General features: G+C 35.9%; 1 protein-coding gene across 11 annotated transcripts in view; it reads left to right on the top strand.

The window, feature by feature from the left end:
- The window catches only part of PUS7L (pseudouridine synthase 7 like), a 39,799-nt gene that overhangs the window by 10,405 nt on the left and 14,501 nt on the right, over positions 1-14,893 (top strand). For 5 of the 11 annotated variants that reach the window (NM_001271826.2, NM_031292.5, NM_001098614.3 and 2 more), the window contains 4 exons: positions 2,148-2,340; positions 5,831-5,929; positions 9,995-10,076; positions 11,725-12,005. In NM_001271826.2, coding sequence (NP_001258755.1) covers positions 2,148-2,340; positions 5,831-5,929; positions 9,995-10,076; positions 11,725-12,005 — 655 coding nt within the window. Of the gene's footprint in view, positions 1-2,147; positions 2,341-5,830; positions 5,930-8,609; positions 8,755-9,994; positions 10,077-11,724; positions 12,006-14,893 lie in introns of those variants that run through there. The other 6 variants (XM_011538791.3, XM_047429625.1, XR_944748.2 and 3 more) reach the window with 5 other exon arrangements.

Below are 14,893 nucleotides of genomic sequence, written 5' to 3'. Positions count from 1 at the left end.
ATGGTTTCTAAACATCCTGTACTGCATTCAAATATGCATTTATATTCAGAAAAGTGTCTCATAAATCATGTTTTCCTAATTAATTATATTATGCCTTTATTATCGTGGATCCTTACATTTAAAAAAAATCCTCGTGAAATAGAATGTAAAGTACTCAAATTTAGCCTCCGTCAGCTTAATCAAATTTTACAAATTTTTTTGTTACTGTAAAAGACATATATTTATTATAGAAAATAGAAAAAAGTTTTTTAAAAATGAAGTTACCGGTAAGCCTACTACTCAGAAATAACTGCAATAGGCTGGGCACGGTGGCTTACGCCTATAATCACAGTACTTTGAGAGACTGAGGCAGGCGGATCACTTGAGGTTAGGAGTTCGAGACCAGCCTGGCCAACATGGTGAAACCCCATCTCTACCAAAAATATAAAAAATTAGCTGGATGTGATGGCGTGCGCCTGTAATCCCAGCTACTTGGGAGGCTGAGGCAGGAGAATTGCTTGAATAGGGAGGTGGGAGTTGCAGTGAGCAGGGATCATGCAACTGCACTCCAGCCTGGGCGACAGAGCGAGACTCCGTCTCAAAAAAATAAACAAAAGTAAATAACTGCAATAACATTTTTCTCTGTTTCTCTCTAGACCTTTTTCAGAGACTACATCACACAAAAACTTTTTTTTATTATTTATTATTTTTTTGAGACGGATTTTTGCCCTTGTTGCCCAGGCTGGAGTGCAACACGCAATCTTGGCTCACTGCAATCTCTACCTCCCAAGTTCAAGCGATTCTCCTGCCTCAGTCTCCCGAGTAGCTGGGATTACAGGCGCCCACCACCATGCCTGGCTAATTTTTGAATTTTTAGTAGAGATGGGGTTTCACCATGTTGGCCAGGCTGGTCTCGAACTCCTGACTTCAGATGATCCACCCGCCTCAGCCTCCCAAAGTGCTGGGATTACAGGCATAAGCCACTGCACCCAGCCAACATTTATTATATATATGAAAATCATACTGCATATACAGTTTATATTTTGCTTTATAAAATAAAATAATATTGTTAGATGAAAATTTATGTCATGAAATAAATTATGTCTATCATATAGACTAATTTGTTTAACATTCCCTGTTTTTGAAAATGGAAATTCTTTCCAGCTTTTCACTGTAAATAATACCATGAGTAATATTCTTATACTTAAATCTGTAACTTATAATTTCCTTAAGATAAACTTCAAAATGTGAATGATTGGGTCAAAATTCAGCCTAATTAACGTAATATCGATATATTAATTCTTAGTTAACGCATGTTTAAGTATCCACTATGTGCAAGTAGACTCTTCTGAGTGCTTCTAAGCTCTTATATGGGGGACAAAAAAGGTGTTTGATTTTGCTTTTGTGGTCAAGAAGTGCAGGATAGTGCAGAAAGAAGAACTTTAGATGTTAAAGTGTATTTAAGATGAAAGCTCCCCTCTAAGGAAGAGAGATTACTTTAATTTAGCTTATGAGTCTGGAATTTTAATTACACTTCAAGTAATAGTAAGATTTTAGCAGACGCAAAAAACTAGAGATACATTTGCGGGCAGTAAACTCAATAGTCTGTCACGTATATAATTCCTATAAGGACTGTGGAAAATATGGCTATAAAGGAAATTTTAAATCAGCCCTTATAGGGTCATACAAGTTACTCTAAAAATATTGAAGATATTAATTCTTTAGGTGTTGGGAAGAATTGAAAGTTTGAGTAAGGAAGTGGTCAGAGCAGAATTTCAGGAAAATCCTCTGGTGCTAGTGATTTTTCTTGGTAATGTTGGGTAAAGAGACTGAGAAGGAAAGGAGCAGAGTTGGGGACAGGAAGATCAGGAGAACTGCTAGGAGCTTCTGTCACTCGAGCTAAGGAGAAGTCAGAAGGCCTACACTGGAAGAGTGATAACATTAGTAATATATGTTCAAGTTTTTAAAATAGTTCTGTTAATGCAATCCTATAATAATGGGTATTAAGCACACATTTGGTGAAATAACATTAACTTTAGAATATTCTTAAAAAATTGTATTAGTATTCTCATATAAGGGGTTGCTTGGCAACTGCCACTTAAAACCTTATTTTAAAGTAATTTTTAAATGTAAAATTTAACTGAGTTTATATGATTTATTACTTACAGGTTGAAAAATATTGAAAAAGAAATTGAAAAGAAAAGAATGAATGTCTTTAATATTCGGTCTGTAGATGATTCCCTGAGACTTGGTCAGCTCAAAGGAAATCACTTTGATATTGTCATTAGAAATTTAAAAAAACAAATAAATGATTCTGCAAACCTGAGGGAGAGAATTATGGAAGCAATAGAAAATGTTAAGGTAAGAAAACTTAATTTTAAAAGGCATCCAGGGAAATCTTCATTGTCTCTTTCTCTACACTGAGGCAAGAGGGGAAACTTCTTTTTCTTTTGTACCTTTTTATGGGATTTTTAAAAGTGATTAATTATTTTCTAAAGTGATAATTAGGGCCATTTGGCTTATATTTTATTTTCAGCTTAATACATTTTTGTATTTAAACAAAACAAAATATGTAAACATGATTTTAAAAATGCAGGATATGGTGTCCTCCAGAGAAGAGGGGACAATCTACATTCATAAGAGAGATTTTTTTTAAGCATCTGCTATATAGAGTAGTATTTAGTCAGGGGAATTTATTGTTTGGAAATTTTGATGTATACACATTATAAATCACACACACTGTATTAGTCCATTCTCACACTGCTAGTAAGGACATACCTGAGACTGGTTGATTTATGAAGGAAAGAGGTTTAGTTGACTCACAGTTCAGCATGGCTGGGGATGCCTCAGGAAATTCATAATCATGGTGGAAAGGGAAACAAACATATCCTTCTTCCCATGGTGGCAGGAAGGAGAAGTGCCAGGCAAAGGAGGAAAAGCCCCTTATAAAACCATCAAATATTGTGAGAACTCACTCGCTATCATGAGAATAGCATGGGAGTAACAACCTCTATGATTCAATCCCACTGGGTCTCTCCCATGACAAGTGGGGATTATGGAAACTACAATTCAAGATGAGATTTGGGTGGGGACACAGCCAAACATATCATAAACTTTATGTTTTACAGTAAAAAATTACTTAGCATAAGTTTCTAAATGACATTTTCCCGACATTTAAATGTGCACATACAACTATAGTTTTCAAGACTAGACCATCTTAGATCATCTAGACATCAGCAAACTTTATACTGTAAAGGGCCAGATAATAAAATTTTTGACCTTTTAGACATATGGTTCCTCTTGCAACTAATCTACTGCCATTGTATGGAAGCAGCCACAGACAATATATAAGTGAATGAACATGGCTGTGTTCCAATAAAACTTTATTTACAAAAACAGGTGTTGGACCAGGTTTCATTTGTGGGCTATAGTAGTTTGCTAACCCCTGATCTAGATGAGTAGTTCTCAACCTGAGGAGCTTTCAAAAAATTTCACCCATTGATATCTACTCCTGAACCAATTAAAAAAGAACATTTGGGGATGCAGGTTAGGCATTAGTACTTATTTTTGAAAAACTTCTTAGGTGACTGTACTTTAGAGCCAATACCGAGAAACACTGATTCAAGTTTCTCACCACAAAGACCTTTTTACACAATTTTATACCTGTCCAACAGGAAAACAAACAAAAACTGGTTATTAATCTGCCTTGTAGTTAGGAAAATATCTTCCAACTAAAGATCTTTTAAATCCAGCACTTTCATCTGTATATGGAAGTTATCTGATTATATACTCTTTATATGTTTTGTTAGTCCATTCTCATGCTGCTATGAAGAAATACCCGAGACTGGGCAATTTATGAAGAAAAGTGCTTTAATTAACTCACAGTTCCGTATAGGTGGGGAGGCCTCAGGAAACTTACAATCATGGCAGAAGGCACCTCTTCACAGGGTGACAGGAGAGAGAATGAATGCCAGCAGGGGAAATGCCAGACACTTGTAAAACCATCAGATCTCGTGAGAACTCACTATCGTGAGAACTCACTCTCATGAGAACAGCATGGGGTAAAACCGACCCCATAATTCAATTACTTCCCACCGGGTCCTTCCCATGACATGTGGGAATTGTGGGGATTACAATTCAAGATGAAATTTGGTGAGGACACAGCCAAACCATATCATATGTTGTTTTACCTTCGTTTTCCTTGACCCACCTAAAATTCTACTTTTTTTTCCTCAAAAACTGTTACTAAAATGATATACTTTAAAAAGGTAGAAGTTTCTTTGAACTCTGGTAGCATTTATTCCCTGTCTTTCATTTGTTATTTATGAACATACAGCTGCCTATTACAAAATTCCCATTAGAAACAATCTTAGTTTTAGCCAACTTCCATTAGTTCTTATGATGTGAGAAAGGAATTGAGAAACCCTGAAAATAAGGAGTCTTTGAAGTTTTGTTTCAAGGGGTTATATCTCTGTTATAAACCTTTTGTTATATCTAAGTACTTTGAAGGGTTAATTTAAAACTCTTCTGGTTACTCTAGGACGTCATCTTATGTTATTTTTTCAAATTTGAAATAACTAAAAATATTTATGAGATTTAATTCAGGGAGTACTTATTCTATCTGTAATTAATTTTTTTTTTTTTGAGACGGAGTCTCGCTCTGTCACCCAGGCTGGAGTGCAGTGGCACGATCTCGGCTCACTGCAAGCACCCCCTCCCGGGTTCACGCCATTCTCCTGCCCCAGCCTCCTGAGTAGCTGGGACTACAGGTGCCCGCCACCACGCCCAGCTAATTTTTTGTATTTTTAGTAGAGACAGGGTTTCACCATGTTAGCCAGGATGGTCTCCATCTCCTGAGCTCGTGATCCGCCGGCCTTGGCCTCCCAAAGTGCTGGGATTACAGGTGTGAGCCACTGAGCCTGGCCTGCAATTAATTTTTTAAATGACATGAGATAAAGATGCAATTGCTTTTGTACCATGCTGATAACAAATTGGCTCCGCATCTTTTATTAAAAAGTTCTTGAGTTGGTATTCAATAATAATTGTTGACTGAATAAATGCATACTCTCCTCATAAAGTAAGTGTGGAGGACTCTTGTCTTTCAAGAAACTGTCTGGGCCTGGTGTTTTCTTTGTGAGCACATGTTTAATGACTGACCAATTTCTTTAATGGTTGCGGTAGTATGTTACAGTTTTCCATTTCTTCTGAGTAATGTGACAGTTTTAAAACATGGCCTGTATGGTTCACCTCCAGCAGGAAGTGAAGTCTGTATTCTTCCCCTGGAATACAGACTGTTCCAGGTGCTGGAATAGCTGGACCGGTAGAGTACTGCTGAAGTGGCTCCATTGTCTCAGGTCAGCCTTTAAGAAACTGAGATGAACTAAAGAACGAACGTTATGTAGAAAAGAGCCAGGATATGTGGGGTTTGAAAGTGAGCCTGTTCTTGACTCCCGACATCTCCAGACAGCCGAAGAGTCTCAAAATAAGAAAGAGCATCAGAGTAGGGATCAGATCTTGGTACTAGGTGATCAACTCATTTTGGAAGCCCAGAACTTTTCTGGCTTTAACACTGAAAATCTCACATCCCAGGAAATCCCTCAGTAACATGAATGGAAAGCTGACGTATTTTTAAAGTTTTCTTCATTGGTTTTATGTTCTAACTTCTAATTCTGTGTTTTCTTTCCTTTTCTTTAATTTACAGCATTTTTCAGACCATTTGGTCCCTATGTGTATACTGCTGATTACAGAGTTATTCTGTTAAAATAATTATGAAGAGAAAAATTCAATTGTGTATTTTGACACATAATTGTATTTATATACTCTTAATTTGTTGATTATTTTGTATACATAGAAAAAAGGCTTTGTGAATTACTATGGACCACAGAGATTTGGGAAGGGAAGGAAAGTTCACACAGACCAAATTGGACTAGCTTTGCTGAAGAATGAAATGGTATGGATTTTGAAAAATGTAATCTTATCTGTTTCTGTCAATTATACTTACTACATAACCCAGCTCCTTGCTTTCTTAACTCTAGCATATAAATGCATGTAAACACTCACATACCAAATATATTACATTACTGAACATTTAGTAAGCTGCTGCTCTGTCCTTGATATCACATTACAAGAAAGCCAACAGTGTGAGTGTCCTTGTGGTTAGTACATATTTGAGATTTGACACAGAAATGACCATCACTTTCCAATTTTAGTGAACTGAATAGAAGATTTAGAGGAAATTTTGATCCTACAATCCCAGAAATCAGATATCAGATCATATAAAAGATAGGAATCCACATAAGTCCAGAGACTAAAAGGGGAGCAGTAAATTTGAAAACAAAATCTGACTAGTTCAAAATGAAGCTAAAAATTCATGTTACAACTAAGAAGCTGCATTTGCTGAAATATTAAAAGCGTATGTGTGTATATCTGCTTTTAATTTATATTTTTTATATGTAATTACATATTTTTACACTAAAATGGAGTGCACATAATGGAGGAAAACTATAAAACTATAAAAATTATATATTTGAACAAATGCAAGATTATTCTTATGATAGTATCTCGTTCACTCACCTGTGTTCTAATATGATTTCTTGAGTGGAAGAGAAAGAAACAGTAAAAGATTTTGTGAGAAGCGTAGTGCATTGAACATCATCTTACATATCAAATAATGTTCAGAGCTGATGATTTAGACCACATCTGCAAATCTATAATTAGTTCTGGGTTTCACATTTCAAAGGAGATTTTAGCAACTGGAATATAACTGATATAATAAAGAGTCTAGAAATGTTTACCTCAGCAGTGGTTCTTCAGTCTAGAAAACTCTGAAAATTAACTTGTAAAATGTTTAAAATTTTGTCATACAGAAGAAGAACTTAATAGTTTGGGGCCTGTTGGATGCAGCAGATGTTCTACTTGAGTTCTGCCATTTGTCACATGTGTTACTATAGGTACTTAACTTTTCCAAGTTGCTTAACTTTTCCAAGCCTCAGTTTCCTTATCTGTAAAATGGAGATAGCATGTATGTCACAAGATTTTTCTGAGAATCAAATGAAAGAACTTTTGTGAAGGCAGCTAGTACAGTGCCAGACAAGTGTCCATAGATGGAATGGGCTAGATATTTAAGGGACTTGTAGTCCAGCATAAGAAAGACTTTTTCTTAACAATTGTTCAAATAACTGGAATGTCCTGTTTCTCATAACATTTAAGCAAAAGCTGGATGGCTACCCCTCTACCTCTTTCAAACCTCATATTACATGCTCTTGAATTTTTAAAAAATTTTGCTTTAGTAGTAATAATCAATTATTGCTGTGTAACAAATTACCCCAAAACGTGGTGGTTGAAGACAACAAGCATTTATTATCTCAGTTTCTGAGAGTCAGGAATTTGGGAGCAGCTTAGCTGAGTGGCTCTGGATCAGGGTTTCTTGTGAGGCTGCAGTCACACAATTGGCCCGGATGTGTAGTCTCTGAAGACTTGACCAGGATGGAGGATCTGCTTCCAAGCTCATGCTCGTGGTTGTTGGCAGACTTTATTTTCTTGCTTAAAACTATTTGTGGCATGGCTTCTCCTAGAGAGATAAGTCCAAGGATGCAAAGGAGAGAGAGAGAGACAACAGATACCACAGTGTCTTTTATAACCTAGTCTCAGAAGTGGCATACTTTCACTTCTTCTGTCTTCTGGCCACAGAGACCAACCCTGATAAGTGTGGGAGAGGACTACTCCATGTGTGAAGACCAAGTGATGGAGAGCATTGGGGGCCATCTTAGAGGCTGGTTCCTGCAGCTAAAAAACTATATCTTCTTTCCTTTGCCTGAAGCACCCCCTCCCCAACCTGTATATTCTTTAGGTCTCAGTTTAAATATTCTCATTCTACTCCCCAAGAAAAAGTGAATTCCTCTTATTTTGTGATCCTGAATCATCTTGGGCTTCCCATCTTAAGTTTTATTATATTTTATTGTTATTGCTTATTTAATTTTGTCAGTAGGCAGAAAGTTTTAGTTGAACAGAGACCATGACTCTTTTACTCAATGCTCTGTCCCTAATACCCTATGCAGTACCTAGCATGTGGCAGATACCTAATAATATTTGTTTGAATAAATGAATGCTGTAAAAGAAAATTGAGTGGGAAATTGGGTCAAATGACCTATTTAAGATCCTTTCCTACTCTAAGACACGTGCTTTAGAAATAAATCCCAGTGCTAAAGACAGTGATAAAATACATAAACTAGTAGATATTATTTTTTAAAAAAGGAACATCTTTTAATCATTTAGGATTTAAAATATTAAATTTGGCAACTTTTTCATTAAGATTTTGGCAATTATTTTTAAGTCCAAAGAATTTAGGAAATTGAGGGCACAAATGAAATTAAGGGCTTGCCATTCCCCTCTGCTTGCTACTTTCCTATTTTTGTCATGTGTGTTGGTCCAGTCTGAAATGTATGCCATTATTTTACCCTTGTGTTCTTGGCTCAATAATAGAGATAAAGGATGACAGAACTCTAGGTTGTCTGTCAATTGCCAATGACAATAGAATTTATACTGTGTACTTACTTTGATAGTACTCTCAATATAACCTCTTCTCCAATTTTATGTCTCTCTTTATCTTTTGTCTTATGAATCCTTTTTAGTTTTAAGGGAGAACCATCTTTTATATTTCCAGCATCCTTTTGTTCTTCAAGGACTTCTAAGTCTTGAGAAATAAAAAAGCCAGTTATTTGTGCTGAGGCAGGAGGATCATAACGTCAGGAGTTCGAGACCAGCCTGGCCAATATGGTAAAGACTGTCTCTACTAAAAATACAAAAATCAGCCGGGCGTGGTGGTGGGCGCCTGTAGTCCCAGCTACTCAGGAGGCTGAGGCAAGAGAATAGGTTGAACCCGGGAGGCAGAGGTTGCAGTGAGCCAAGATCGCGCCACTGCACTCCAGCTTGGGTGACAGAGCGAGACTCCGTCTCAAAAAAACAAACAAAAAAGATATTTGTGGCTGTGAAATGGGTGAAACATAACTTTAATTCATTTAATCCTAACCTGAAAGTTATAGCTGTGTTTTCTTTGGAAACTTCTGAGGCTTCTTTTTTTAATGTTGTCTTTCTGAGTGATTTTCTTTACTTTTGCTCTGGGAGCGAGGCATTCTACATCTTCAGAGCTACTTCTTTTCTTCTTCCCTTTTTTGACTCAGGTAAGTTGGATACTTAAAATCTTTCTTGCTTTTTTGTTTTTCTTTGAGGGTTGCTTTTGGAGTTCACTAGTTTCTACTTCTGAGCCCTCAGAGTGGTTCTTGATCTTTCACTTTACAGCTGCTTGCATTTCTTGTGTCCATATTTAACTCTTTGATCTGGACATTGTCTTCCTTTTTCATTTGCCCTATTTTTTTTTCTTTTTTCTTCTGTAACAATACAAACATTGGTTTAATTTTACTTCTACTCCAGCCATTTAAATATTAAATATTTTCAAACACATCTATTTAAATATTAAAGAACTATTTAATATTTATTTTTAGGCCAGAAGGGGCTCAGTTTTCACTGTCTTAGGAAATATGCTAGGTTTTCTTGGTGCTTCTTCTGGTGGGTTGTTAAGAACCTGAAATGACTGCAAAAAAGTTTTACTATTTATAATACTTGCTAATTTTTTTGCTTTTGGAAACAGTTTAAAAATAAGGGTTTAATACATTTAGCCTAAGCTTTTCAGAATTCTTACACCTTACTAAGAATGTCAATACATTTTAACTTTAATATTTAAAAAAAATGACAAAAGTAGAATTATGGAAGTGATAGGGAAATACTTTTTTCAGTCCATAATATTTTAAACCTATATATAAAATTATTTCATGCAGAAGGCTTATTTCTACATTTAACATTGTCTGTTTAATTTTTGCAAGCCTAAAGAGAAAATTGCAGCATCAAGTATAATTATTAAATCCCTATTCTTTTAGGATGCTAGAGAATTTGCATCTTTTTTTAAAGAAAGTAATTTGACATTTTCATTAACACATGTTTACCTGCTTGATTTTTTAAGATGAAAGCCATAAAATTGTTTCTTACACCAGAAGACTTGGATGATCCTGTAAATAGAGCAAAGAAGTATTTTCTTCAAACTGGTATTTACGTTTCTTTATCCTGTACATAACCATGCAGATACAGATACACACTATAAATGTTTTATCAGCAGGAGAGCATTTATTGTAACATAAATGTGATAAGAAATAAATTATAGTATATTACATACTGAACACTTTTATTACATGACTTAGGCACTCACTTCGTTTTTGGTCAGATTTGGAAGTTTTTTTGTCTATGCTAAGTCTTGTCTAGGGGTAGGGGCAATGGGAGAAATAGTTTCTTAGTTTTTCTTGGCTGAAATCCTCTGAGAGAGAGTTCCAAATTCGAATCTGGCACTGATGACAATAATTAATTGCAGCTGGGGGAGATACAAACACAAATAAATAAAAGTTCATTTATGATATTCCAAACTTTACACATTATTCTCATTCTAGCTGCCAATTAGCCCTGTCAATTTTTAAAACGTTAGGTCAGTATGATGGAATACATATAGAATGCTTGATGAAAACCACTAAGGAAAAGTGGTTATGAGTATGGCTTGAGTCAGACTGCATGGGGTTAACTCTCAACTTTAATACTTCCCAACTGTATGATTTTGTGCAAGTGATTTGACATCATTGTGTTAGTTTCCTTATCTGTAAATTGAAGCAAATCACAGTACCTAAAAGAGTATTATGAGATTTAGATATGCCCTTGGAATAATGCCTTGCGTGTACTACACAGAGATAAATATTACCTTTATTTAAATAATATTATTTATAATATTATAAATATTACCTTTATTTAAATAATAAAAACAGCAAGCACACCATTTCAGATTCATTCAGATATCTGACCGACATACTGAATTTCACTTATATTGAAATAAAGGATGTCAGTTTTCAAATATTTATTTATTATTTTTAATTATGTACATATTACATATGTGCAGCTATTCGCAGGAAAGTAGTATTTTTGTGCCATACCACAATGTGTAAACAGTGTGGACACTTCTAACTCTTATGAGTAATTTAAGTAATAATAAGGAAAATTCAAAGTGACTTGTTTATGTCTGTTATAGAGTCCCGAGATGATAATTTCCTTATGGCAATGATTCTTAAACATTCATATGCATAAGAAACACCTGGTACATCTATTTCAATGCCAATTCCAAGGCCATACGTGAATAAGCATCTTTGTGGTAGATTCCAGTCATCTACATTTCAAAGTGCATTTGTGAGGCATAATAGTGTGCCTGAAGGCTCCAGATCTCAACCCTTTCTTAGTAAAAAAATTCTGTGTTTATGTCCAGAATAGCTCTTTAAAAAACTCAAGCCTCTGCTAGCTCAGCAATTAAATTATTTAATCCTTTAGGTTTTTTGTTTGTTTGTTTGATTTTGTTTTAACAGTCCTGTGAATAACTTCATTAGATTATCTCTATTCTGAAGTAAGGGACTTTAGTAAGCTGTTACTAATGTTGGATTCTTGGCTTTTTTTTTTTTTAATAGCAGGGAAAGTGAAAGTAGGGCCATATTATGCTTATTATTTTTTTTAAAGCTCTTCAAGTGTAGCTAGGTTTAACTGAAAGTGTTGAATATCATCTTAATACCCATGTTCATTGCCTCAGTTTGAGATTAGAACAAAAGCCTTTATAACTGGCCTTTAAATAAAAGTGGCTAACTATACCTGATTTACCCTTTGTTTCAGAGGATGCTAAAGGCACACTTTCATTGATGCCTGAATTCAAAGTGCGTGAGAGAGCATTGTTGGAGGCATTGCACCGCTTTGGCATGACCGAGGAAGGTTGTATCCAGGCATGGTTCTCTTTACCCCATTCCATGCGCATATTCTATGTTCACGCATATACCAGCAAAATTTGGAATGAGGCAGTATCTTACAGACTTGAAACCTATGGAGCAAGAGTAGTGCAGGGTGATTTGGTCTGTTTGGATGAAGACATTGATGACGAGAATTTCCCAAATAGTAAAGTAAGTATCATTCCATCAGAGTTTTCCAAGAGTAGTTACTATACCAGAACATGAATTTTTCAAAAGCCCTGATTATAGAAACACTTTAAACATACATGTAATTTATTTATCTATTTGTACTTATATTTACTCATCTCCTGCTTCAAGTCTGCTGTCAGTTTAGGCTTAACACATGTTGGTAAATGGAAAGATAAAAATAGTGGTATGGAGTGAAAGATATATAGGTAGTAAAGCTTCCTTTAAAAAACCCATTTTAAAAAAGATTACACAAATAATGCACAAAACAGCCCATAAAAATAAAAATCAAGGCCAGGCGTGGTGGCTCACACCTGTAATCCCAGCACTTTGGGAAGCTGAGGTGGGCGGATCACGAGGTCAGGAGTTTGAGACCAGCCTGACCAACATGGTGAAGCCCCATCTCTACTAAAATACAAAAATTAGCCAGGTGTGGTAGCGCACGCCTGTAATCCCAGCTACTCAGGAGGCTGAGGCAGGAGAATCTCTTGAACCTGGGAGGCGGAGGTCACAGTGAGCCGAGATCGTGCCATGGCGCTCCAGGCAGGGTAACAGAACGAGACTGTGCCTAAAAACAAAAATAAAAACATTACAGATGAGGCTGCCATCCCTGCTAGCATCCTAATGTGATTCCCTGTGCTTCCTCCAGAGACTCAACCTCTGTTGTTTGTTATGTGTCTTTCTAGACCTTTCTGTATGTTTTCACATAAATATCCATTGAAAATCTATTTTTATTCTATTAGTTAACACCGAGAAAAGAAAAGGTAGGACTTAGAGACTCAAAACTTAAAATATGGAGAGGAGAAGGAATATGATTTTTATAATGGTATATGGAACAATGTAATGTGTGTATTTCTTTTATAGAAATGTGATTTTATCTAAATATGATTCATAATTTCCTCTTAACAATGTCTTAGAGACATTTATATTAGTGAAGTTATAATATAGTTTATATTATAAAGCTTGGTCCTTCCATTTCCTCCTTGTCCAGTTTTATTTTTTATTTTTATTTATTTATTTATTTTTATTTTTTATTTTTTTATTTTTTTGAGACAGAGTCTCGCTCTGTCGCCCAGGCTGGAGTGCAGTGGCGCGATCTCGGCTCACTGCAAGCTCTGCCTCCCGGGTTCACGCCATTCTCCTGCCTCAGCCTCCCAAGTAGCTGGGACTACAGATGCCTGCCACCACGCCTGGCTAATTTTTTTTTTATTTTTAGTAGAGACTGGGTTTCACCATGTTAGCCAGGATGGTCTCGATCTCCTGACCTCGTGATCCACCCGCCTCGGCCTCCCAAAGTGCTGAGATTACAGGCGTGAGCCTCCGCACCCGGCCATCCAGTTGTTTTTATCTCTGTGAGTTTGAACTAATGAAACTGGGTTCCATAAATCATGCAAGGAAATTCATTTGATAGTGCTGTAATGCAAAAAGAACAAATTATTATTCTCCAACTTTATCATAAGTCAGTCTCATAAATTTTAAAAATTAGTGAAAATTTGAGTAACACTTTCGTATGTAACAGTAAAATCATTGAATTTTAGAGAACAAAAGGATTTTAGAGACACTCTTTTTTAATTCCCATTTTATAGAAATGAAAATTGGGTCCCAGATTGGAGAGTAGACAGATTCAGAGTCACACAAGTAGTGGAATTAAAAAGACCCGGCTGCCTAACTCCTAGCCCTGTTGGGTCTCTACTAGAAAAATCATGGAGTATAGAGAAGTAGTCTGTAGTGAGAACTAGAACATGGTCCGGTTTTTCAAAAATAGAGGTAAAACAGACTCTGAACTCTACATAAAGCAAACTTTATCTAAATTAATGTCAGAATTCTTGATGTATTAATTAAGGTTTTTTGGTTTTAAGTAATAGAAACCCACCTCAAACCCACAGTAATTTAAAGAAACATGGGAATTTATTGGTCCTCATAACTGAAAGCCCATGATTGATTCAGGCGCAGCTGTATTTGGGACTTAAGTGTCCTAAACGATCTCCTTTTTTTCATCATTCAGCTCTGCTTTTCTCTGTTAGATCCATTCCCAGTCTAGCTTACACCTTTGGTGGCAAGATTATTATTAACGACTCTAGGCTTATTTCTCACCACTCTAGACTTGCTTCTCTGCAGAAAAATGATTTTTCTTTCCCAACAGTGTCAACAAAAGCTGTGTAATTGAGTCTCAGTGGCTAGGAATGGCCTGGCCTGGATCATATGTACAGAACCAAACCAGAAAGTGTGAACTGCAGTATGTGATTGACTAAACCTGCATTCCTGGGGCTCCTTCCTGGGACCCTAATCCACATCTGACACCTGGGAGAGGTCCCCTGGAAAATGAGAGTGCCGCTACTTGAAAAGAGGGAGTAAAGATTGCATAAGCCAGAACATCAGATGTCGGCTTCACTTTTTCATTAAATGGATGAATATGCAAAAACTGCAATTACTTGTGCTCCAACCTAATAGGAAAGAAATGATAAGAAAATGATCACTAGGAGGCAGCATATGTTACTAAGAATGGTAATTTAATTGAGATACAGACTCAAACTGTGTGAAAAGAAATCTAGTAGCATTTAAGTTTTATTTTACCTCATGTGGGGGAGAAGAGATATGTCAATGATCCCCTTTTGATAAATAATAAAAAATCGTTATCATTTCTTAACACCTCCCAGAAAACATGTCCAATTAAATATTGGAAAGCACACTAATTAGTAAGTCATCCATTTCTAATTCAGATTTTTGGAAGTTAAAGATTACTTTCACAAGATACAACAATTTTTGAAATGCATGAGTTTTATAAGACTTCTTCATTCAGAATAACATTTACAAGGATAGTTTTGTGATTGGAATTTTAGCTGCTTTCTTTTTGGAGCTATAGGAGAAGAGAA

The sequence above is a fragment of the Homo sapiens genome, chromosome 12, assembly GCF_000001405.40.
Source record: "Homo sapiens chromosome 12, GRCh38.p14 Primary Assembly".
NCBI lineage: Eukaryota > Metazoa > Chordata > Mammalia > Primates > Hominidae > Homo > Homo sapiens.
Note: the sequence above shows the minus strand (reverse complement) of the source record. Positions and strands in the feature narration are given on the sequence as shown.